This window comes from Homo sapiens, chromosome 11 (assembly GCF_000001405.40).
Source record: "Homo sapiens chromosome 11, GRCh38.p14 Primary Assembly".
In the NCBI taxonomy this organism is placed as follows: Eukaryota; Metazoa; Chordata; class Mammalia; order Primates; family Hominidae; genus Homo; species Homo sapiens.
This window is the reverse complement of record NC_000011.10, coordinates 110,252,910-110,277,650: the sequence shown is the minus strand read 5'-3', so window position 1 is coordinate 110,277,650 and position 24,741 is coordinate 110,252,910. Positions and strand designations below refer to the sequence as shown.

The 24,741-nt window shown below is 36.9% G+C and overlaps 1 protein-coding gene across 19 annotated transcripts in view; it reads left to right on the top strand.

Annotated features, from left to right (window-relative positions):
* RDX (radixin) overlaps positions 1-24,741 on the top strand; it is a 121,693-nt gene that overhangs the window by 18,964 nt on the left and 77,988 nt on the right. For 13 of the 19 annotated variants that reach the window (NM_001260493.2, NM_001440510.1, NM_001440505.1 and 10 more), the window contains 7 exons: positions 5,032-5,115; positions 12,777-12,872; positions 13,417-13,691; positions 19,462-19,545; positions 19,738-19,884; positions 22,266-22,362; positions 23,542-23,705. The exons of 1 other annotated variant lie outside the window; for it this stretch is intronic. In NM_001260493.2, the coding sequence (NP_001247422.1) occupies positions 5,032-5,115; positions 12,777-12,872; positions 13,417-13,691; positions 19,462-19,545; positions 19,738-19,884; positions 22,266-22,362; positions 23,542-23,705 (947 nt within the window). Of the gene's footprint in view, positions 1-5,031; positions 5,116-12,776; positions 12,873-13,416; positions 13,692-19,461; positions 19,546-19,737; positions 19,885-22,244; positions 22,363-23,541; positions 23,706-24,741 lie in introns of all 19 variants that reach the window. 5 more of the 19 variants (NM_001440512.1, NM_001440516.1, NM_001440517.1 and 2 more) reach the window with 5 other exon arrangements.

The following is a 24,741-nucleotide window of genomic DNA, read 5'->3' as shown; positions in this document are numbered from 1 at the left end:
TTCACAAAAGAAGCTATATTAAAGACTGGTAGGCCGGGCATGGTAAATCACGCCTGTAATCCCAGTACTTTGGGAGACTGAGGCGGGAGTATCACTTGAAGTCAGGAGTTCGAGACCAGCCTGGCCAACATGGTGAAACCCCATCTCTACTGAAAGTACAAAAATTAGCCAGGCATTGTGGCACATTCCTGTAATCCCAGCTACTTGGGAGGCTGAGGCAGGAGAATCGCTTGAATCCAGGAGGCGAAGGTTGCAGTGAGCCAAGATCGCACCACTGCACTTCAACCTGGGTGACAGAGTGAGGCTTGTCTCAAAAAAACAAAACAAAAAATAACAACAAAAAAAAGACTGGTAATAATCCAGTGTAGATATGGATGTGGAGCAGCTGCGACTTTATTGTATTTTTGTTAGGAATGTGAACGTTTACAGCTACTTTGGAAAACTCTTTGCCAGTATAATTGAGTGGAGAGTGTTTATTGTTCCTTAAAGAGTCAAAATTATATGCAGTTGGATATCAATTGTGTGTTGTTGATTCATTAAAGATTCTGGAAGTATAGAACTTGCCTTGTGGAGAAAACACTCTTGAAGCTAGATAAGTTTCAGAATGTGGAAGTTTTTGGATTTTAGAAAGATGAATATACGATATATTATGTGCATATGTCATTATAACATGAAACTCCCATCAAGGTCTATGGCATCACCTCTAAAACATTTGTATTTCTATAGTTTAATGAGTGAATAGTCACGTGAAGTGGAATAAATTAATTCACTACAAGTGATAGTCTTATATCACTTCATGTCAGATTTTTCCTCAAAATTAACTCATCTTCAGGTTTCCGTGCTTTTAGGATGTCAAAATTATGGAATAGGAACTGTGGATCCATATTTACAATACCCACAAAGCCATAATGATCTAGGAGAAAATACCTAACAAATGAGTAAACTGATTTATATGGAGCAAATTATAAGCACTTCTTTCAAAAGATTTTGAAAGTCATTAAAGGAGATCTAAGTCAATGTACAGTGAGAAAACCATAGTCATGTATAGAGTCTATATTAATAAAAATGTTAATTCTTACCCAAAGATACCAAATAATTTCGTGTTGTTCCAATACTAAATCATAAATGGTGTATTTTGTAAAGTTCACAGTTTTATATGGAACCAAGAGCAAAGATAATGATCCAAGACTAGTCAAAATAGTTCTGAAGAATAATGGAGACTTGCCCTACCACATATCAAGACTTATTTAAAGAAGTACTAATTAAGACAATATGATATTGAGTAGTTTAATTGACCAGTGGAACAAAATTAGATCCACACTTATGCAGATACTTGATTTGTGACAGCACAGACTTTGGAGAATAAATGAACTAATTAATAAATTATGTTGGGATTAAAAAAAAACCCTGTATTATTTTCATTCATATGGAGATTAAAAAATGAAATTGGACCTCTAACATCATAAGCAAAAATCATTGAAAATTGTGAAAATCAAAATAGGAAATATATGAATATCCTTATGACTCCAGAGTATGGAAGGATTTCTTAAGGATGGCAAAAAATTGGCTGGGTGCAGTGACTGATTCCTGTAATCTCAACACTTTGGGAGGCTGAGGCAGGTGGGTCACTTGAGGTCAGGGGTTTGAGACCAGCCTGGCCAACATTTATACTGGCCCGTTTATACTAAAAATACAAAAAATAGTCAGGCATGGTGGTGCATGCCTGTAATCCCAGCTACTTGGGAGGCTGTGGCAGGAGAATCACTTGAACCTGGAAGGCAGAGGTTGCAGTGAGCTGAGATCACGTCACTGCACACTAGCCTGGGTGACAGAGTGAGATGCTTTCTCAAAAAAAAAAAAAAAAAAAAGGATGGTAAAAAACTGGTATCTGTGTGTAAAATATTTATAAATTCAACATTAAAATTAAGAATGTCAGTTTATCATAAAGGACACTATGGAGAAAGTAAAATGACGAACCACAATATGGGAGGTTCTTTTGTAAGAAATAACTGACAAAGGATCAGTATCAAGAATATATAAAGACTTCCTACGTTAAAGTAAGAAAAAACAACCCAATAGAAAAATAAGCCGTATGCGTGAACATTCGCAGATGAGAATGAGTGGTCAGTTAAACGTATTGTACTAGTTTTCCATTGGTCTATGACAAATTACCACAAATTTAGTGTTATAAAACAGCACCCATGTATTATCCCACAGTTTTATAGGTTAGAAATCTGGGATGATGTGACTGAGTTCCCTGCTTCAAAGTCTTATAAGGCTGAAATCAAGGTATAACTTATTCTGCAACCAGCCAGATAAATTGATTAGCTTAGGCCCTCCTAGATAATCTTCCTGTTCTAAAGTCAGCTGATTAGTAATCTTAAGTACTTCTGCAAAATCCCTTTAATCATGTAATGCAACATAATCATGAGCATGACACCAGGGGCCATCTTAAAATTCTGTATGCACATGCCATGTACAGAAATGTGGATGTCATCAGCAATCGAGGATCCCACTTTAATACCATATTGAGATACCATTTTCTGCTAACTGAATTGTCAGATATTAATAAATCTGATAATGCCCACTGTTCCTGGAAATACAGAAAAGCAAGAATTCTTATACAATGCTGTCAGGAGTATACATTGACACAGTTACATTGTACAATTCAGCATTATGTGGTAAAAGTAGAAGGTGTGCACACTTCATTACTCAAGAATTCTGAGTATATTCTGGAGAAATTCTGACACTCGGAGACATGTACGAGAATGTTCATAGCAGTATTGTTCTTAATAGCCAAAAAATTGGAAACAGTGTTCATTGACAGGAAAATGGGTGAGTAAATGTTTGTTTGGCCACATGCAGAATGTTGCATAGCAGTGAAAGTTCAGTTACAAAAACATCAATGAATCTTAGAAACATATGGTGAAAAATTAAACTAGTATAGTGCAATTTTAAAGAATTTATTGAAGTAGAATATACATACCAAACAGAATATATGAGAAGTGTGTAGTAACAGTAGTCCCAGCCACTCAAGAGGCTGAGGCGGTAGGATCGCTTGAGCCCGGGAGGTTGAGGCTGCGGTGAGCTGGGATTCTGCCACTGTGCTCCAACCTAGGCAACAGGGAAAAAAAAGTGTGTAGTTGATGAATTTTCGTAAAGTGAATATACCCATGTAAGCATTGCCCACATCAAGAAAGAAAACTTGATCAACAAATATCGTGCAGTTATAATACAGCTAAAAATCAAGAAAAATGAAGCTATTTTACAAACAGATACATATATTTACGTTAGAACCATTTTTTTAAAAGCAAGATAATAACAAAATTTAGGTTAGTGATTACCTGTTGGTATTTACAAAGAACAAATAACAGTGGTATATGCAACATTATTTACCATTTCTTGTTATTCAGTTGGATGGTAGATTTATGGGTTTCGTTTTATTATTCTTCATTGTTTATATATGATAGATGTTTTGTATATATCATTTCTTAATAAGATACAGTTTTAGAAAAGAAAAAAATAAGATTATTTTAAAGAAGGATGAATCTGTAAGATCTGATTACAGAAGTTATTCCAGGTGAAAGCTATAATGTGCTGAGGTTGTGATTGTTAGACATATGGGGAAATAAGAAGTCTGATTTAGAGTTTTTATAGTGTGAGTTAAAGTTAGATAAAATGGCACAAGCTGTGTCCTCAGTAAACCTACAGGCTGATGGAAAAAGATACATAAAAACAAATGCAGTAATACGTATTAATATAAAATTTTAAATACAGTTGTTACAGAAACAGTGTTAGTAGGAATCGCTACAGGTTTATACTGGTTAAGGGAAAAGTAAAGATTGTTAGAAAATCGATACAGAAACAGCAAATGAAGTGTGGGAAAATTAAAGGAGAAATAAGTTAATAAAAGATAAAATAATTTAAAAAGCTAAAAAGATATATTTGGATCATGTGAAGAATTCTAGGTGAAGATGCTATTCTGTGGTAAAATTATTTTGGTAAGGCGTGTTAAGTTTTTGAGATATTAGGTATTTACACAATAAAATTATTATTTAAAATAGAGTTTGGAGCTAGGCCTGGCGGCACACGCCTGTGCTCCTAGCTACTTGGTAGATTGAGGTGGGAGTATAGGTTTGCGTCCAGGAGATCAAGGTTGCAGTGTGCCATGATTGCACGCATGAATGGCCAGTGCTCTCCAGCCTGAGCACAACATAGTGAGACCCTGTCTCTAAAAACAACAAAAAATAGAATCTAGCAAATAAAGCACTGTAGATAAATGCTTTCCTAAAGCGAATAATGTATTTACAGTATGAATAAAATGAAATCTGATTTTCATGTTGAAAGAAATATGGGATAGTGAATCACATTCAAAGAATTTGGAGTTAGACCTCAATTTAAATACCTCCTTTGCCTTTTTTGTTTTGCTTTGTTTTTGGAGGCAGGGTCTTGCTCTGTTGTGCAGGCTGAAGTTCAGTAGTACAATCATAGCTCACGGCAGCCCTCAAACTCCTAGGCTCAAGTGATCCTCCCATCTCAGCTTCCTGGAAATAACAGGCACATGCCACCACACCCAACTAATTTTTAAATTTTTCATAGTCTTGCTGTGTTCCCCAGGCTGGTCTCAAACTCCTGACCTCAAGAGATCCTCCCACCTTGGCCTTCCAAAGTGCTGGGACTAAAGATGTGAGGCACCATGTCCAGCTCTTGCTCTGCCTTTTAATATCCACGTGTCCTTAGGTGAATAATGGAAACTCTTTGCGTTTCTGTAGAAATAAAGGTAGTATCTCCTAGTATTATAGCAAGGGCTAAATGAGAGTATGGAAAGCCCATAGCTTAGTGCCCAGTATATGTTAAGTATTCAATAGATGTTCCTAAATGAGGACTTTATAAGCTCTTTGTTTTTCAAATAGATTTAAGATTTCTTGTGATTAAAATAAAACTTTATCACTTTAATAAAGAAAATCATAAAAGTTTTCTCACGCCTAATAACTTCTCTTCTACTTATTATTCCTTTTATTTTTATTACAGATCAACGTAAGAGTAACTACAATGGATGCTGAGCTGGAATTTGCCATTCAGCCCAATACAACTGGCAAACAACTTTTTGACCAGGTATTACACTGCATGAAATATGCAACTTTTGACACCATAGTGTGAATGTTGTTGCATACCTCTTTCTCTGTTTTTCTGTACTTTTGCTGATAATCCAACAGTGTACCACTTGGAATTTTTCATAGTAGCTATTCAGATATCCCTACTACAGCAGTAGGGATATTCTTTATTCTTTCACATTCCTACATTTGTGGGAGAGGACTTCTTGAAAATAATTTTCAGCAGGTATTTATTTAACATTTATGAGAATCATTGTAATGGTGACTAAAAGGGATTCAAGGATAATCCACAAAGTTGTTGAGTGAAATGAGTAGGAATCCTGGGCAGAAGGAACAGCAGGAGTGAAAGGCATAGGGAATTACAGGTTGAGAGCATCTCTTATCCAAAATGCTTGGGACCAGAAGATTTTGGATGTTTTTAGATTTTGGAATATTTGCATATGTATAATGAGATATCTTGGGGATGGGACCCAAGTCTAAACACAAAATTCATTTATGTTTTGTGTACAACTTATACACATAGGCTGAAGGTAATTTTATAAAATCCTTTAAATAATTTTATGCATACTGAGTTTTGACTGCGACCCATCACGTTAGGTTAGGTGTGGAACTTTCCATTTGCAGAGTCATGTTGGTACTGAAGAGGTTTCAGATTTTGCAGCATTTAGGATTTTGGATTTTTGGATTAGGGATGCTCAACCTGTATAGGCTATACAGAGATCCCTAACAACAATTTGGTGTCATAGGTTCATAATGTATGAGGCAAAGGTTGGGATATGGAGGTCAGGTATCCGGTATGTTAAGGAACTGGGACTACTGATCTTATCTTTCTTCTCAGTCTTGAGTGCGTATTAGTCACCTGTGGAGCTTTAAAAAAAGGGAAAGGAGACAGTGCTTGGAAACCCCTTCCAGAGATGCTGATTTAATTGTCTGGGCCTACTCTAAATTATCAGTATTTTAAAATTTAAGCTTCCCAGATAATGTTGTATTGCAATGTAAGCAAGTTTTGCTGAGAAAACGAGGTAAGGGATTGGCCCCAGGGATTAAGTAAGAACATGAAGAAACTGTTGCAAAGACAGAGGAAGGTGGTATATATCATGTGTGGCATGAAACTTAGAGGAGGATAACTTTTATATAAACTTCACGTACACTTTTTCTTAGGAGCAGGAGAGCAATAGCCTGTAGTCAGAATAACTTGATCTTAAAGAAGGAAAGAGTTTCTAGCATTTCAGCAGTAAGTAACACTAGATACTTTGGTTTTGTTAGTTGTCATTCTGTCAAATACAGATTCAAATCTGATGAAATAAAAATTCTAAATTCTCTAAAGTTGTTTATTCTCCTGACAAGTAATATACTTAATCTCCTGATTTGGTAATTCATAAATTTAAAAGTCCTGATAAGGCCTTTTTGGATCATGAAAAGCTTTTTGTGTGGATGTGCAAAATTTTAAAGCAAAATCATAAAGAGCTAAGTTCACCACACCTTGTGAACCAATCTCCACTTTTTTCTTTTTTCCAAACCACTTTTGTTCTGGTATAATATCCACTTCTGTTGATTCTTCTGTGCCTCCTGTTTGTGAATATACAGTCTATCTTATTTGAAAAAAATGTGAATAGAGTTAGCATTTATTGTACTTCATAGCAAATTGAAATGTTATTTATAGTAAGTGAGATGTTTGTGGCAGCCAAAAACTAATCAGCAAGTTATCCTCTTTGGTATTGTATACTGAGAAATAAAACTTGTTTTTTATTAAGTAGAATTACTTTCACTTGGATACAGGAAAATGAAACCATTTATTATAGGGCAGTGATGTACAGTGGTTTAGAAGTGTGGGCACTGGAGTCACACTGCCTGCAATAGTTGTAGTTGCAGCTGTTTGACTTTGGACAAATTAATCTCTTTGTCTTATTTTTCTCGTTTGTACAATTAGGATGATGGTAACATTACTTCTTCAGAGGTTTATTGTGAGAGTTAAATGAAAATCTATGTAAAGTGCGTAGAACAGTATTTGATGGTTTTGTGTATATCTCTTTCTATTTATGTAGATAAATACAGTGTCATGTGCCGCATAATGACATTTCGATCAGTGACGGGCCACTTATGCAACAGTGGTCCCGTAAGAGTGTAATACCATATTTTTACTATACCTTTTCTATGTTTAGATACGTTTAAATACACAAATACTTAACAGTTGTGTTAGAGTTGCCTACAGTATTCAATATAGTAACATGCTGTACAAGTTTGTAGCCTAGGAGCAACAGGCTGTACCATATAGTCTAGGTGTGTAGTAGGCTATACCATTTAGGTTTGTTTAAGTATACTCTGATGTTCATACGATGATGCAATTGTCTAACGATGCATTTCTCAGAATGTATCCCCATCGTTAAGCAACCCTGACTACACACACACACACGCACACATGCACACACAGTTCATATTGTAAATGGTCCAGGTTATTATTACTTATTTCTTTATTAAAAAAAAATTTTTTTTTAGATTGGCTCTCACTCCTGTCGCCCCAGGCTGGAATGCAGTGGTGCGATCTCGGCTCACTGTAACCTCTGCCTCCCAGGCTCAAGCGATCCTCCCACCTCAGCCTCTTGAGTAGCTGGGACCACAAGTGTGCTCCACCATGCCCGGCTAATTTTTTTTTGTATTTTTGGTAGAGATGGGGTTTCGTCATGTTTCCCAGGCTGGTCTTGAACTTCTGAGCTCAAGTGATCCGCCTCCCTCGGCCTCCCAAAGTGCCAGGATTACAGGCGTGAGCCACCGTCCAGCCTGGTCTAGATTATTGAGTATTGTTATCTGTTATGGACTCTTCTCAGCAGTTCTTTAGTCCCTGTTCTATTTCCTGACTGCTTTCCTTGAACTCAAATGCAGTGATGAACTTTCCTTGAACTCAAATGCAAGGATCGAAAAATGCAGACTTTACTTTTGTATGTAGTGTGTGTGGGATAAGCTGGCAGGTTCAGGTCAAGCCAGGGGTAAACTGGGTCCTCTAAAATGAGAGCACATAGCTACATGAGTACATGTGTAGTAAAGCCCCATGTCTGATTATGATGTTAAATCGAGGCCAGCTGCTCTGTGTTTGGGGACTCTGAGTGCTTGAAGTCCTTTGGTTTGCTTCTTGCTGACTTTTTTCTTGACTAGCCTTCTCCTTTAGCTGCTTCTTGTGGGATTAGTGTAAAGAGTGTTCATACCCCCAAAGAGTGTGCAAGAACATCTGTTACGGTGAAAGAAGTATTAAAATATATTTTTAGGCTAGACTTGGTGGCCCACACCTGTAATCCCAGCACTTTGGGAGGCCAAGGCGGGAGGATTACTTGAGGTCAGGAGTTCAAGAGTGTAATACCATATTTTTACTGTACCTTTTCCTGTCCAATATTGCAAAACTGTCTCTACTAAAAATGCAAACATTAGCTGAGTGTGGTGGTGCACACTTGTAATCCCAGCTACTCAGGAGGCTGAGGTGGGAGAACTGCTGAAACCCAGGAGGTAGAGGTTGCGGTCTGCACTTCAGTTTGGGCAAAAAAATAAATAAATTAATTAAAAAAATATATATATATGTATATATAATATGTATTTTTAAACATTTTTAAAAATATATGCTTTATAGTGTATTAGCATGATAGTATGTAACTTGTAAATAAATATACCTATGTTATAGTTACGTGCCCAAGCAGATTCACTTCTAAAAGTATGTGATCAGAAGTTTATGGGAGCTTAAAGGACAGCCTCACTAAAATATATTAATTAAAAAAAAAACATTCTAGGAGCACCTTCTGAAGAAGTAGAGAACCACTGGGGAGACAGGGCCTTTTAGGGAATTTCACAGCTGAGCTTTCTTGTTCCTTGTATTTGTGTAATAGTCTAAAGTTAGTTAAGCTATTATCCCCTGTGCCCACTGTGGGGCATCTCCCTTTTACTTACCATTGTGAATCTCACAGAGTGTGGAGGCAGAAGCTGAGCCCAGCTGCTTTGTTATACTTCTCTCTGCTGCTTTTGACCTGTACATTACTACTCCTGCCGCTCCAAGCTTGAATGTTTTCTATGGCACTGCTGGGGCAATCTGTCTTTTACCAAAGTTAGATTATTTGGAATCTCCTTTTGTCCACATTGAATTTTTCATTGTTTGACATTGATCAGCTTTTGCATTATCAGTATGAGACTTTATATTCCACATCTTCTAGAAATTTCTCACTTTTTGCTTTTTTTTTTTTTTTTCCCCGAAACAGAGTCTTACTCTGTCACCCAGGCTGGAGTACAGTGGTGCGATAGCTCAATGCAGTGCAACCTCCGCCTCCCGGGTTCAAGCAGTTCTCCGCCTCAACCTCCTGAGTAGCTGGGATTACAGGCCCTTGCCACCATGCCCGGCTAATTTTTGTATTTTTAGTAGAGACAGAGTGTCACCATGTTGGCCAGGCTGGTTTTGAACTCTTGACCTTGTGATCCACCTGCCTCAGCCTCCCAAAGTGCCGAGATTACAGGCGTGAGCCACCGTGCCTGGCCCACTTTTTGCTTTTTTGATGGTAACATTTTCTAAATGCTTTTTTCTTATTTTTAATTTTTTTTTTCTTTTTTTTCAGACAGGGTCTTGCTCTGTCACTGAGGCTGGAGTGCAGTGGCATAATCACAGCTCACTGCAGCCTTGACCTCCTGGACTTAAGTGATCCTACCACTTCAGCCTCCTGATTAGCTAGAACTACAGATTTGCTTGACTACTTAGCTAATTTTTTTTTTTTTTTAAGAGACAAGGTCTCCCTACATTGCCCAGGCTGTTCTGAAACTCCTGAGCTCCTCCTGCCTTGGCCTCCTAAAGTGTTGGGATCACAGATGTGAGCCACTGTGCCCAGCCAGTGTTTTTTCTTTTTTTCTGTCATTTCAGTGAAAATTTTCAAGAGTGGGAAAGTAAATGGAAGGGTTCAGTTTGCTGTCTTGAAACCAAAAGCCTGGAATGTTTTAAGATTATTTGTGTGTGTGTGTGTGTGTGTGTGTGTGTGTGTGTGTGTGTGTGTGTGTGTTTTGAGACGGAGTCTCGCTCTGGCACCCAGGCTGGAGTGCAGTGGCGCGAACTCGGCTCACTGCAGCCTCTGCCTCCTGGGCTCAAGCAATTCTACTGTCTCAGCCTCCTGAGTAACTGGGATTATGGGTGTGCACCACCACACCTGGCTAATTTTTGTATTTTTAGCAGAGATGGGGTTTCACCATGTTGACCAGGCTGGTCTTGAACTCTTAGCCTCAAGTGATCTAGCTGCCTTGGCCTCCCAAAGTGCTGGTATAGGCGTGAGCCACCCTGCCCTGCCAAATGTTTTAACATTATTTTTTAAAAAACAGGCTGGGCACGATGGCTCATGCCTATAATCCCAACACTTTGGGAGGCTGAGGTGGGCAGATCCCTTGAGCTCAGGAGGTCAAGACCAGCCTGGGCAACATAGTGAGACCCTATCTCTACTAAAAATATAAAAAATTAGCTAGGTTTGGTGGTGCATGCCTGTGGTCCGAGCTACTCGGGAGGCTGAGGTGGGAGGATCACTTGAGCCTGGGGTGGGGGTGGAGGTTGCAGTGAACTGAGATTGCACCACTGCACTCCAGCCTGGGTGACAGAGTGAGACCCCGTCTCAAAACAAACAAACAAACAAACAAACCAAGGGCCAAGCGCAGTGGCTTGCATCTATAATCCCAGCATTTTGAGAGGCTGAAGTGGGAGGATCACTTGAGGCCAGGAGTTTAAGATTAGCCTTGGCGACATAGCAAGACCCCTGCCTCTACAGAAAACAAAACAAAACAAAACAAAAAAAAACATTAACTAGGTGTGGTGGAATGTGCCTCTAGTCCCAGCCATTCAGGAGGCTGAGGCAGGAGGATTGCTTCAGCCCAGGAGGTCAAGGCTCCAGTGAGCCGTGAATCACACCACTGTACTCCATTGTGGGTACAGAGTGAGACCCTGTCTTTAAAAAAAAAAAATAAGCAAAAACTCCCACAAAAAACCAAGAATGTTTATTATTTAAGAACTGATATTGAATCTTTCTGTAAAGCTTTTAAAATGTTAATGAACTTTTACCTCCCCTGGATCATTTTCCTCATTTTATTTTAAATACAGATTTTTTTAAAAAACATATGCTTTTGTTAGGTGTGGGTAAGTCCTGGGTGTGTATCCTAACTCCACCACTTTATTTACTCTTACTTTATTTTCTTTTTTTTTTTGAGACGGAGTCTTGCTCTGTCGCCCAGGCTGGAGTGCAGTGGCACGATCTCGGCTCACTGCAAGCTCCGCTTCCCGGGTTCACGCCATTCTCCTGCTTCTGCCTCCCAAGTGGCTGGGACTACAGGCGCATGCCACCACGCCCAGCTAATTTTTTTTTTTTTTTGTATTTTTAGTAGTGATGAAGTTTCACCGTGTTAGTCAGGATGGTCTTGATCTCCTGACTTTGTGATCCGCCCGCCTCGGCCTCCCAAAGTGCTGGGATTACAGACGTGAGCCACTGCGCACAGCCTACTTAGTCTTACTTTTGAGTATCTACCACAGGCTGATCATTCTGTGAGATGCTATGGATTTTAAGACACATAAATCAATAATCTCTGTCCATAAGTATTATGCAGTCAAGGAGGGTAAATAGACACACTGCTAATAACACAATTATGATAGAGTAAATTTTCTAATAGCAGGATAGATAAAGTCCTATGGGAATATCAGGGAACAAGTGATTAATTTTATCTAGATGGTAGGAGAGCTTTATTCACAGAAGGCACGTTAGTTGAGCTTGTCCTTAAAGAATAAATTGTTCAATAAGTCATAAAAATACAGAAGACCCATTCTAGGCAGAGGAAAAAACATCAGCAAAATTGTAGAAGGGTGGAATTTATGGTATGTTCTAAGAATGGTTTCTTGCTCAGTGAAGGTAGAACATGGAATATATCAGACTTTTCTTATCACCAAAATGATACCATTTGCCCTAAATATACCAATAGGGTACTTGTGGGGGTAAATAGAAATTGGAACGTATGATTATGAAAACTATATATATATATATATATATTTTCAAGACTCTTGTTATTGTTGAGGTCATGATAGATAAGGAAAAGGAGGTATGAAAAAGTGGATCAAGTAAGAGGATTGAAGTGACACTACAAAATTGAGGATTAGAGGCCAGGTGCAGTGGCTTACGCCTATAATCCCAAGACTTTGGAAGGCCGAGGCAGGCAGATCACCTGAGGTCAGGAGTTTGAGACCAACCTGGCCAACATGGTGAAACCCCATCTCTACTAAAAATACAAAAAATTAGCTAGGCGTGGTAGTGCATACCTGTAATCACAGCTACTTTGGAGGCTGAGGCAGGAGAATCACTTGAATGGAGACGGAAGTTGCGGTGAGCCAAGATTGTGCCATTGCACCCCAGCCTGGGTGACAAGAACAAAAAAAAAAAAAACAAAAAAAAAAACTTCTTTTCAAAAAAAAAAAAAGAAAAATTGAGTATAGAAAACTTGAATTTGAGTTTTCAAAAATGTTCCTTTAATATCTTAAATTTAGGGAAAGCCTTTTCTATGGCAAAGGAATATACGTATACTTACATAGTTTTGTTCTCCTTTTGAAGTGTAGTATCATCTAGACACAATGTGTATGTTGGACTGAAATTGTGTTTTTTTGTTGTTGTTGTGTTTTAGGTGGTGAAAACAGTTGGTTTGCGTGAGGTCTGGTTTTTTGGGCTGCAGTATGTAGACAGCAAAGGTTATTCTACATGGCTTAAACTAAATAAAAAGGTAAAATATGTACGATAACATTAAACTAATAATTATGTTAAGTTGAAGTTATGAATTTGTGCTGGAAAAGCTAAGTCTGACTGATTGCAAGCTTCCTTTTGTAGTTATCTGTTAATCATTATGAGGTACCATGTTTTTTTAAATTCAATCAGGCACCATCAGCTTATCATCTCAAAAAAAAAAAAAAGAAATGCTTACTTTTCCTATTTGAAAACTTAGCCTATAACAAATATTAAAGCAGATATTACAAATGGCATACTAAGTACTTCAATTTTGATGTAAATACCTGTAGGATAAGCTTCTCAAGAATATGAAAAAAAGTTTTCAATTTGGTTATTAGAATCTGAGTTATAGGTCACATTCAAGAGCATAGAATCTTTTACCACATATATTTGTTTACAGATTTAGACTATTACACACTAAAATCTTCATAGATTTAGAATCTATTTCACTTCATTTTCTTCCAAAAAGAATTTGATGTGACTAGGTCTAATTATTGTAAACTTAAGATTTTTGTTGATTATACTTGAAATTATTTTTCCAGGTAACACAGCAGGATGTTAAAAAAGAGAATCCTTTACAGTTCAAGTTTAGAGCTAAATTCTTTCCTGAAGATGTTTCTGAGGAATTAATTCAAGAAATAACCCAGAGACTCTTCTTCTTGCAAGTTAAAGAAGCCATCTTAAATGATGAGATATATTGCCCGCCAGAAACTGCAGTTCTTTTGGCTTCCTATGCTGTCCAAGCCAAGTATGGAGATTACAATAAAGAGATTCATAAGCCAGGCTACCTGGCTAATGATAGACTCCTACCCCAGCGGTAAGTGAAACATGCGTTTGCATTATATTGTCTGAAAATTGTATTCTAGAAGTCTATAAATAAAACGTTTTTCAGGTTTTTTTTTTTTTTTGGAGACAGGGTCTGGACCTGTCACCCATGCTGGAGTGCAGTGGCGTGATCTCAGCCCACTGCAACCTCTGCCTCCTGGGTTCAAGCCATCCTTCCACCTCAGCCTCCTGAGTAGCTGGGTCTATAGGCACATGCCATTATGTCCGCTAATTTTTTTTTTAATGTATTTTTCATTGAGATGGGGTTTCATCATGTTGCCCAGGCTGGTCTCAAACTCCTGAGCTCAAGTGATCTGCCCGCCTCAGCCTCCCAAAGTGCTGGGATTACAGGCATGAGCCACCGCACCTGGCCTCTTTTTTTTTTTTTTCCAGATTTTAAGTTGCCAGCTGGATCATGGGGTATACTTCTAAAAATCATTACCTAGCACCTCCATAGATTTATATGCTCTGTAATTACCTAAGGTTGATCTATCTCTTCTTTCCTCATTCCCATAGGGTAAGCAATAAATGGAGGCAGTGATAATTTGGACTTGAGGAAAGGATGTGACTGTTGCTGCTTGGTACAAATTCTAACACAGGCAGGTGCTTAATAAGTGAGAGTAAGTGGCAGGCTGTGTTTTCTTCATAGAATTCTCTGACTTTTTCCCCCCCCGAGATAGAGCCTCACTCTGTCACCCAGGCTGGAGTGCAGTGGTGCAATCTCAGCTCGCTGAGATTGGAGTCTGCCTCTCAGGTTCAAGTGATTCTCCTGCCTCAGCCTCCCGAGTAGCTGGGATTACAGGCATCTGCCGCCATGCCCAGCTAATTTTTGTATTTTTAGCAGAGACAGGGTATCACTATGTTGGCCAGGCTGGTCTCGAACTCCTGACCTCAAGTGATCCTCCCACCTCGGTCTCCCAAAGTGCTGGGATTACAGGCGTGAGCCACTGCTCCTGGCTGAATTTTCTGACTTTCTGAAAAGGCTTTTTAAACTAGGTTTTCAGACTCCTAGGCTGGTGCATTGTTCTTATCTACAGTGTACTGCTGCTTCTATAATGGCTATTTTAAAATAATATGGCATAGGAAAAAATTATCAGAAGACCTAAATTTTGAGTACCGATTCCACCCTTTGCTATATATGTGACCTTAGGTACATGACCTAAAACCTCTGAGCTCAGTATCTAAATCTGCAAAGTGGGGATAATAATCCTTCTCTGGCTACCTTCTAGTTTATGATTATAATTAATGAACTATATGATTTACAGTTTTAATTGTCAAGTGTGAAACGTGTTATTTAGTAGTATTGATGGAATCTAGAAGATGGAACATCAAATATTACTTTTTAATTTTTTTTTTTTTTCTTTGAGATGGAGTCTTGCTCTGTTGCCCAGGCTGGAGTGCAGTGGCACGATCTCGGCTCACTGCAACCTCCGCCTCCCGGATTCAAGCGATTCTCCTGCCTCAGTCTCCTCCTGAGCAGCTGGGATTACAGGCACACACAACCACACCTGGCTAATTTTTGCATTTTTAGTGGAGATGGAGTTTCACCGTGTTGGTCAGGCTGGTCTCGAACTCCTGATCTCAAATGATCCACCCGCTTCGGCCTCCCAAAGTGCTGGGATTATAGGCGTGAGTCACCATGCTCAGCCAAAATTCAATTATTAAATGTCACAGTGTTCCGCCCTTTAATTTTGTAGCAATAGTAGTCACCTTGGAAAAGGATAGAATTATGTAAGTTGTTCACCAAGAGAGTCAGGAATATGAGATATCTGATAGTCTGTTTATATTCTGGTTTTGAATGTTATTCTAACCTAAGATTCTTCATCTTAGATTACTGAATTGAGTAATCAGACTATTATGGTGGAATTTCATTTCATATAAGGATTACCTTTTGTTTTATAATCAGAATTACTTTAATTTTTTTTTTAAATGTTAAAGAATAGGAATGCTTTATCTAAACAAGTACAGCATTGATCTTTCAGTGTTAAGCCAGATTGCTGTTTGGTTGAGCAGCAGATGAAGTAATTGGCTTACATTTCATAACTCATGTGATTGAAAAAAATCTCTTAAACACTACAATAACACACAAGCACAGTTTATTTTAAATATGGGTGTGCTCTAACCTACTCTATTTAAAAAGAAGGAAGGTGGCTAAATGCTTTAGATAGGGTTGCTTGTGGTTGCTAGTGCAAATGCCTATTTCAAGATTTGTTCCTTAATTTTGTAGGTCAGTTGTTCCTTCAGAGTTGATATTCCATGGAGGACTAATTCAAGCCATGTTATCTTAAAATGAGACTTAGTCATAAAGTTAGAATACCATTTTTTTTTCATTTTCTGTTTAGAACAGAGAGGATATTTTCACAGTGATTGGCTTATTCCAGTATGGTATATCGGACACTTTTTCTCAGTATCTAAGTACAGTCTGGGGAGGAAATGAGTAATTAGGTTATTTGGTGATAACAAATCAAATAAAATAATTTAGTGATTCTGATACATTCTGATTTCTTGTATTGAAAAACCCAGATGAGCAATCTGTTCTTACTGTAGAAAAGTTTAGCTCTTGTGGTATAGATAATTAGCTCCACCAGATAGTATTGCTTCCCTTTGAAAAGAGCTAAATATACATAAACTTTTACATACCAGGTTTCTGACTTGGGCGGCTGGGTATTTGGTAATACCTTTTATCAAAATGAGTGGAAGAAAAAATACATTTGAGGGGGAAGATGAATTCAGTTTTGAACCTATTGAGTTTGAAATATGTGCAATATAACCAAGAGAGATATCTGGTATTTATTTGCATATGTGGGTGCAGACCTTTTAGAAACAGTCTTGGACTATAGATACAGTTTTGGGAGTAATCAGTGAATAGATGGTAATTAAACCATGAGAATGAAAGAGATCAACCTACCAAGTACATAAAAATGAGAAAAAGACCTAGGACAGATCTTGTTGGACCTCAGCTTTTGTCTTTGGGTTCTGCATTCACAGAGTCAACCAACCACAGATTGAAAATATGTGAAAAAAATAACACAGCAATGAAAAGGTACAAAATTTTAAAAATACAGGATAACAATACATAGCATTTGTAGTGTATTAGTGTATTATTATACTACATAGTAGTAATAATATAGTGTATTAGTATTATTAGCCTAGAGATGATTGAAAGTATACAAGAGGATGTGCATAGGTTATATGCAAATATTGCACCATTTTATATCAGGGACTTGAGCATCCACAGTTTTTGGTATCCAAGGGGAGTCCTGGAAGCAATCCTTTATGGATATGGAGGGACAACTGTACTGAGACACTGGCCACAGATTCAAGAATAATTCTATACTAGAAGATGGCTGGGCATGGTGGCACATGCTTGTAATCCCAGCTACTCGGGAATCTGAGACCTGAGAATCACTGGAACCCGGGAGGCGGAGGTTGCAGTGAGCCAAGATGGCGCCACTGCACTCCAGCCTGGGCGACAGAGCGAGACTCCATCTCAGAAAACAAGAATAATACCAGAAGAGTATTATATCATGGAAGCCAAGGTAAAAGAATACTTTGATGAAGAGAATGGTCAGCACTGCCAAATGGTACCAAGAGGTCAAATATGAGGAGAACTAAAGTATCTGTTGGAATAAGGAGCTTGGTAGTGACCTTAGAAGAGCAGTTTCCAGCCGGGTGTGGTGGCTCACACCTGTAATCCCAGCACTTTGGGAGGCCGAGGTGGGCGGATCACCTGAGGCTGGGAGTTCAAGACCAGGCTGACCAACATGGAGAAACCCCGTCTCTACTAAAAATACAAAATTAGCCGGGCGTGGTGGTGCATGCCTGTAATCCTAGCTACTGGAGAGGCTCAGGCAGGAGAATCGCTTGAACCCGGGAGGTGGAGTTTGCAGTGAGCCGAGATCATGCCATTGCACTCCAGCCTAGGCAACAAGAGCGAAACTCTGTCTAAAGAAAAAAAAAAAAAGAAGAACAGTTACCATAGAGTATTGGGTGTTTGAGCCAGATTATGGTAGACTGGGGGCAGTGGATGTCAGGTATGGAAATTGAGGTTAGTGTATAATGGACAGTCCATAAAAGAAAGTTGTCTCTGAAAAAGAAAAAAAAATAGGGGTTGGGAAAAATTGATTAATTCATTTATTCACTCTACAAATTTTCGAGGCCCTCTTTAGTACTGGCATTGGGCATATAATTATGGTAAGCAATTGACTGCACTGGGTTATGTCTCCAAGGCTGATTGCATGCCTCTCTGTGAGCCCAGAGGCCAGACAGCAAGAAAGACAAGAAACTGTGGAAACCTAAGCTCTCTCAGAAGGAAGATGAAACTCTTCTCCCCAAAAGCAAGAGCTTGGAAAAGATGCCTAGAGAAAGGAGCAGAGTATAATAAGAACATAACAGTATGTCTGAGACCCCTTTAAGGAATTTACTCTAAGTAGTAGGTAACTTATCCAGGGGGAGATTTTATCATTCCTTTATGCTGCCAAGAAATCCTTGGGTTTCATGCAAGATTTTTTATATAGTAAAACAGTAATATTTTAACACCACAGCTTCTGCTGTCAGTAAAGTAGGATCTGGTAAATAAAGGTGAATAATTATCATATGAGCCAAAGAGAATAGAAGTCACAAACTGTAGTGTGCATAGTAGGTAACTTATAATCATGTTGACTTTGCTGATTTGGTGTTAAAATAGTAGTAGTAGAATATAATGTTTGTATTTGGCTGGGCGTGGTAGCTCACGCCTGTAATCCCAGCACTTTGGGAGGTCGAGGCAGGTGGATCACTTGAGGTCAGGAGTTCAAGACCAACCTGGCCAACATGGCGAAACCCCGTCTCTACTAAAAATACCAAAAAAACACACAAAAAAGAAAAATTAGCCAGGCATTATGGCGCACGCCTGTAATCCCAGCTACGCGGGAGGCCGAGAGCATCGTGGCACACACCTATAATCCCAGCTACTTGGGAGGTTGAGACAGGAGAATCACTTGAACCCAGGAAGCAGAGGTTGCAGTGAACCGAGATTGTGCCACTGCACTCCAGCCTGGGCAACAGAGCGAGACTCCATCTCAAAAAAAAAAAAAAAAAAAAAAGAATGTATTTGCTCACATTTGAATTAAGAACACTGGAAGGATACAAAAACAAGTTATTTGGGGGGTATTGGACTGGAGTATGACTTTTCACTCTACTTTTTAATTGAAAGTATTACCTACCTAAAACAACAAAATTAGTAGCAAAAAAGTAAATACATAAAGGAAGAATTAGGGCCCAAGAATTCTGGTTTTCAGTCTGGTCTTTATCTATTAACAATGAGCCATTTTTTTATCTAATGTTTTATTCCTTTGAACTGTTTGGGTTCCTATAAGCTATCTTTGTAATCACTTTATGGAGCAAGTATTATTTCAAGGAATTTAAGGATCCTAGACACTTAACTTTGAGATAATTACTGATTATTATGCAGTTGTAAAAAAAAGAGATCCCTGGTATCCTTCTCCCAGCATTCCCTGATGGTAACATCTTGTGTAACTACAGTACAATATTACAAACAAGATATTGACATTGGTACAATCTAGCCACCTTATTCAGATTACATCAGTTTTACCTGCACTCATTTCTGTGTGTATGTAATTTAGTTCTATGCAATTTCATCATGTGTATTAATTGTCTGACAACTACCACAGTCAAGTTACTGAAAGGATTCTTTACTTTTAAAGTGTATGCTTTTGAATCTTAAAGTCATTATAATTTTTTTTTTTTTTTGGTCCTCTTAGTGTATTGGAACAACACAAACTAACAAAAGAACAGTGGGAAGAAAGAATACAGAACTGGCATGAAGAACATAGAGGAATGTTAAGGTATTTGGGTAGCTATTTTCTATGTTTTCTTTTTTCCTTCAAAGTATTTTCATGTCGTAACATTTATTATTACATTATTTCCAAAAGATTGTTTGACTTATGTAAAGTACTAATTTTTAATTCCAGGTATTTTGCAACTTTAGTTTGATATGCTCCTACTTAAATATATTACATTTAGTTTTATTTCAACAGGGAGGATTCTATGATGGAATACCTGAAGATTGCACAAGATCTAGAAATGTATGGAGTCAACTATTTTGAAATAAAAAATAAAAAAGGAACTGAATTGTGGCTAGGTGTTGATGCTTTGGGTCTGAATATTTATGAGCATGACGACAAGTAAGTAAATTAGTTGCATAGTGAACTAGTCATTGTTCAGTGGTCTAAATGACGTTAATCTTATGTCCTGTTTTTCAAAGTAGTTTCTTGTCTTGATTACCCTTACTATTTTCAAACTAAAAGATGAATTAATGACACATAGACTTGTAGATATTTTACCTCCATTTTCTTATCACCTTGCAGTTTCAGAGTTCTACTTTTCAGTGTATTTATCAAATGAGATGATTGACTTTTATTTGAATTGTGCTGCTTTTAGCTCTTGTGAGTTATGTCTAGTAACTTAATTAAAATTTGCTCCCTCGATAGGTGAGAAATAATTCTTTAAAATGCTATTATGCTTGACAAATAGATTGAAATTGAACATACATAAGAAATCAGGAGCAATGAGAGAATGGATTTAATAAATATGTCTATCACATCTTAGAGGATTTTTTTGAACATTTATATATAGGAATTGTTTTAAATATGTTTGGACATTAATACAATAGAATATCCCTGTATTACACATATTGAACACTGTAATTATATCTTGAAATTGACCAAATAGTTTTTTATTATACATATATAATTCATCAATATTTTATTATATGTATAATATATGTATATTTACATATACATGTATATGTACTATACAAATACATGGGTAAATACTATATAGAGACGGTATATTATACACATACACATGCAATATAAAATACATCAGACTCTTACTTTTCAGGATTAATAACTCAATTGTCTTAGACTTTAATTTATTTACCATACCACATAAGCATGCAAGTCTATGCCAGTAATTAATGCCTTTTCCTAAGGCATTATTCTTTATTCTAGGTTGGCTCCAGAATTTTAATTTTTATTACTACAGATATCTAATAAAATACTAATTTCAAAGCATATGTGATTCCAAACAAGAGCATTTTACTATTTTTACCCTAATATCTTCTCATGTTTTTATTACAAAGCAAGTTAGAAGGTTATATCATTTAGAAGAGAAATTTTTGAAAAGCAAAAATGACTTCAAGACTAATTTTTGTAAACTGAATCTTTTTCTTTTGTTTTAGAGAATGGGATCTTGCTATGTTGCCCAGGCTGGTCTTGAACTCCTGGCCTCTAGCAATTCTTGCGCCTCTGCTTTCTCCAGTGCTGAGATTACAGGCGTGAGCCACTGTGCCTGGCTTCTTAATTTTTTTGGTGGTGGTGGTTCTGGCACATATTGGAGCAATTTTTTTAAATGTTAAAAAAGTTATTGTATTAGCTTCCAGGCTTACCTCACAAGAGTGTTATGAGAATTATATGAGGCAATTGCTTTAGAATTTTTCAAAGTAGCATATAAACGTAGCATAGTGTTCTCTAAAATACTATGTTGCATTCCTGCAGTCTCCGTTTTAAGCATGTTACTTTGACTTATATCAGGGGCCATTAGAGGGTCCTCTAATATGCTTATTGAGTAAAGAATGTTTTATGTAGAAAAGACTCTGCTGTGCTGCAGTACCTACTCTGCTTGAGAACTAAAAGGAATATAAATAGGTAAAAATTCATGCTGTGTTGTCAGAAGCCTGGCTAAAAGATGTCTTCTGGCCAGTATAGGTGTCAAAATCATTTCTCAGTCTTAGTTATTAGGACAATAGGACAATAGTGATGCATTTGATAGGTAGTCTGAAACAGTAAAATACATGAAAAGGCAGAAACAAAATCACTTATTCCAATATGATTCCCTATATCTTTGTGTGTAGGGTGGTAAAACGGAGTCAACTGCTGTGTATAGTCTCAAGAGTTTGAATTCCATCTCTATCATTTATCCAAATATTTATGTATGTGAGTGTTTAAAATTTTTGAGATATAATTCATATACCATAAGATTCTTTCAAAATATACTGAAAATTAAGTATTTTTAGTATATTCGTGAATATCCAGACATTTTCAAATTAAACACAGGAAGGAAGTACTGTTTTTTTATTTGCAGTAACTTGCCCGTAATTCACATGAGAAGTTATAAAGGCCTTTTTTTTTCTTCCCACTTCTTACACATATTTAAACTGTAGTTGTAGCTTGAATCCAAACAATAAAAACTGAACAGCTAGTTCAAACCCCAGGAGGCTCAGTTCTACACTTGGGTCACCAGGTAGTTTTTTTAGATAATTTTAGGAAAATACACTGCTTTTAAGGTTCATGACACATTTATGAAATCTTTGGACAGTTGTTTGTTTTATATGATTTATCAGTTTTCCCCTTAAAAGATAAGGTCAACTGTAGTTATGAATAAGTTAATACATTTTGAAAATCTGGAACTCTTAAGATTGGTCATTCAGTCAGTTTAGGTCCTAAACAGGAATTTTATTCATTGTTTCCTGCCTTTAATTAAGGAGATGCTTTCATTTTTTAAGGTTAACACCTAAAATTGGTTTTCCCTGGAGTGAAATCAGAAATATTTCATTTAATGACAAAAAATTTGTTATAAAGCCAATCGACAAAAAGGCACCTGTAAGTAATTTCTTTAATATTTTGTGTATTAACTGTTTAATATCTGCTAGTTTCCCATGATATCACTTGAAGAATAACAGTGTTCATTTATTAAATTGCTTCTGAGGACCATTCTCTTTCCATAGGTCAGCTTTCCCAGTGATGAAATAATATGTTAATAAAAATCCAAAGATTTAATTTTTTAAAGTAAGATGTAAATATTAGAATTTTATTTTATTTGAGATTCAGTTATAAATAGATAATATTTATTAGGAGGCTAATGAAAACACCATTCCTAAGAAGCAATTTTAAAGTGTTTCTTCATTGGTGGCTAGAATGTAGTAGAGGTAGCCCTATTCTAAATTAACTTCGTTTATACAGTTTTGCTTTATGAACTTTGTATTTTTGTAACTTGAAGCCTTGAACTTAAGAAATCTTTTTATTTAAATAGATTTTTAAAGTTCCTCTAATGTCAAGTATACTCTAGTATCCTAACCCTGTTAGTTACTGAAAAGGTAAAAGTAAGAAGAACAGGCTGGGTGCAATGGTTCAGGACCATAATCCCAGCACTTTGGGAGGCTCGAGAGGAGCAGATCACCTGAGATGAGGAGTTCAAGACCAGCCTGGCCAACGTGGTGAAACTTCATCTCTACTGAAAATACAAATATTAGTCAGATGTGGTGGTGCATGCCTGTAATCCCAGCTACTAGGGAGGCTGAGACATGAGAATTTCTTGAACCCGGGAGGCAGAGGTTGGAGTGCACTGAGATGGCACCACTGCACTCCAGCCTGGATGACAGCAAGACTCCGTCTCAAAAAAAAAAAAGAACAATTCTAGGTTAAAAAAAACTCTACAGCCATGAACGAAGAACCAATTTTGACATTAATGGCAAATGGTGTATAAGGAACAGGTGCTCATAGTTACTTTCGAGAACAAAAAGGAATAAATGACATTTAATGTATTGCAAGGATAAGAATATTAGCCTCTTTACAAAACTGGTTGGATATGAAAAGGTGAGGAACCAGTTATGTGAAAGTATGTCATGCTCACTGGGAGTTATGAAATTGTATGATTTCTTATTTCTAAACTATATGTAATATGACATTAAAATTCATACCTCATGTTAAAATTTAGTACAGATTGTTATGAGAGACAGTATCCTTGAGGAAGATTTTAAATTCAGAATACTTTATGTTTAGGATTTTGTGTTTTATGCACCTCGTCTGAGAATCAATAAGCGGATTTTGGCCTTATGTATGGGAAACCATGAACTATACATGCGAAGAAGGAAGCCTGATACTATTGAAGTACAACAGATGAAGGCTCAGGCTAGGGAGGAGAAACATCAGAAGCAGTTGGAAAGGTATGGGGTTTATGACCTTTCACTTTTAATTGATAGGAGTAGGCTATCTAAAATTTAAGACTGCTCAGTTTTTTAAATGTACCTTAAATTTGTATTTATTAATATTTTCATTATATTAAAATTCAAAGACAGTATTATCACTCTGTCCTTTAAAACGAGTATGTATAATTTTCAAGTTAGAAATCTTTGACACATATCTCGAAGAAAATAGCTTTTTGTGACTCATTTCTTGCTTTTCACTGATAGACATTGTTTTAGATATAGTAGTTTGAAACTTTCAAAATTGTTTTGCTTGTGACTTATATTTCTTAATTTTTTCAGGGTAAGAATGTGCTGAATATTTAACTTTGAAACAATGTCAGTGACATTGTAGAACACAACTGAAACGTCACTGTGCCAAGTAGGGTAACATCAGTACTCCCTGCCAAAGACCCTAATCTTTTTAACTCTGTTTCTCTTAGACTTAAAAAAGAAACTGTTAAATATATTAAATTGATAATTTTTAAAATTGAATGGTAGTGAATAAAATTTATATCAACCCTGGAATCAGATTACTGGGTCCAGTGACATTAATTTCCAAATCTGGTTTTAGATTAATTTCAACTTTGTGCTTTACTTGAAAAAATTTAGAGACCAAACTAAAGTTAACCTTTATTGAATAAATCTTTATGGAACAACGTGATAGTCTAAGAAATAGAGTAAGTCCTTAAAAAAAATTTGAAGAGCCCTAAACATATGTATTTTAAATATTGGATATAAGGTACTTTGTATCTAGAAGGAAGCCATCTGCTAGATACCATTTTGCTACTATAGTTTTAGGTTTTATATTGAATGATTTTTTTTCTTATTCAACAACTGTTCTGTGTAAGAGATTTTATTGATTTTTACCTATTTTGTCATATTAACTCAAATTATCTTCCTTAGAGAAGTTAACCACATAACAAAACATTTTTTATATGGGTTTGAAGCTTGTCAGTAATTACTAATCCCATCATTAAAGATACTGAGTTGGTGAGCTGAGGATGGTGGCATGTGC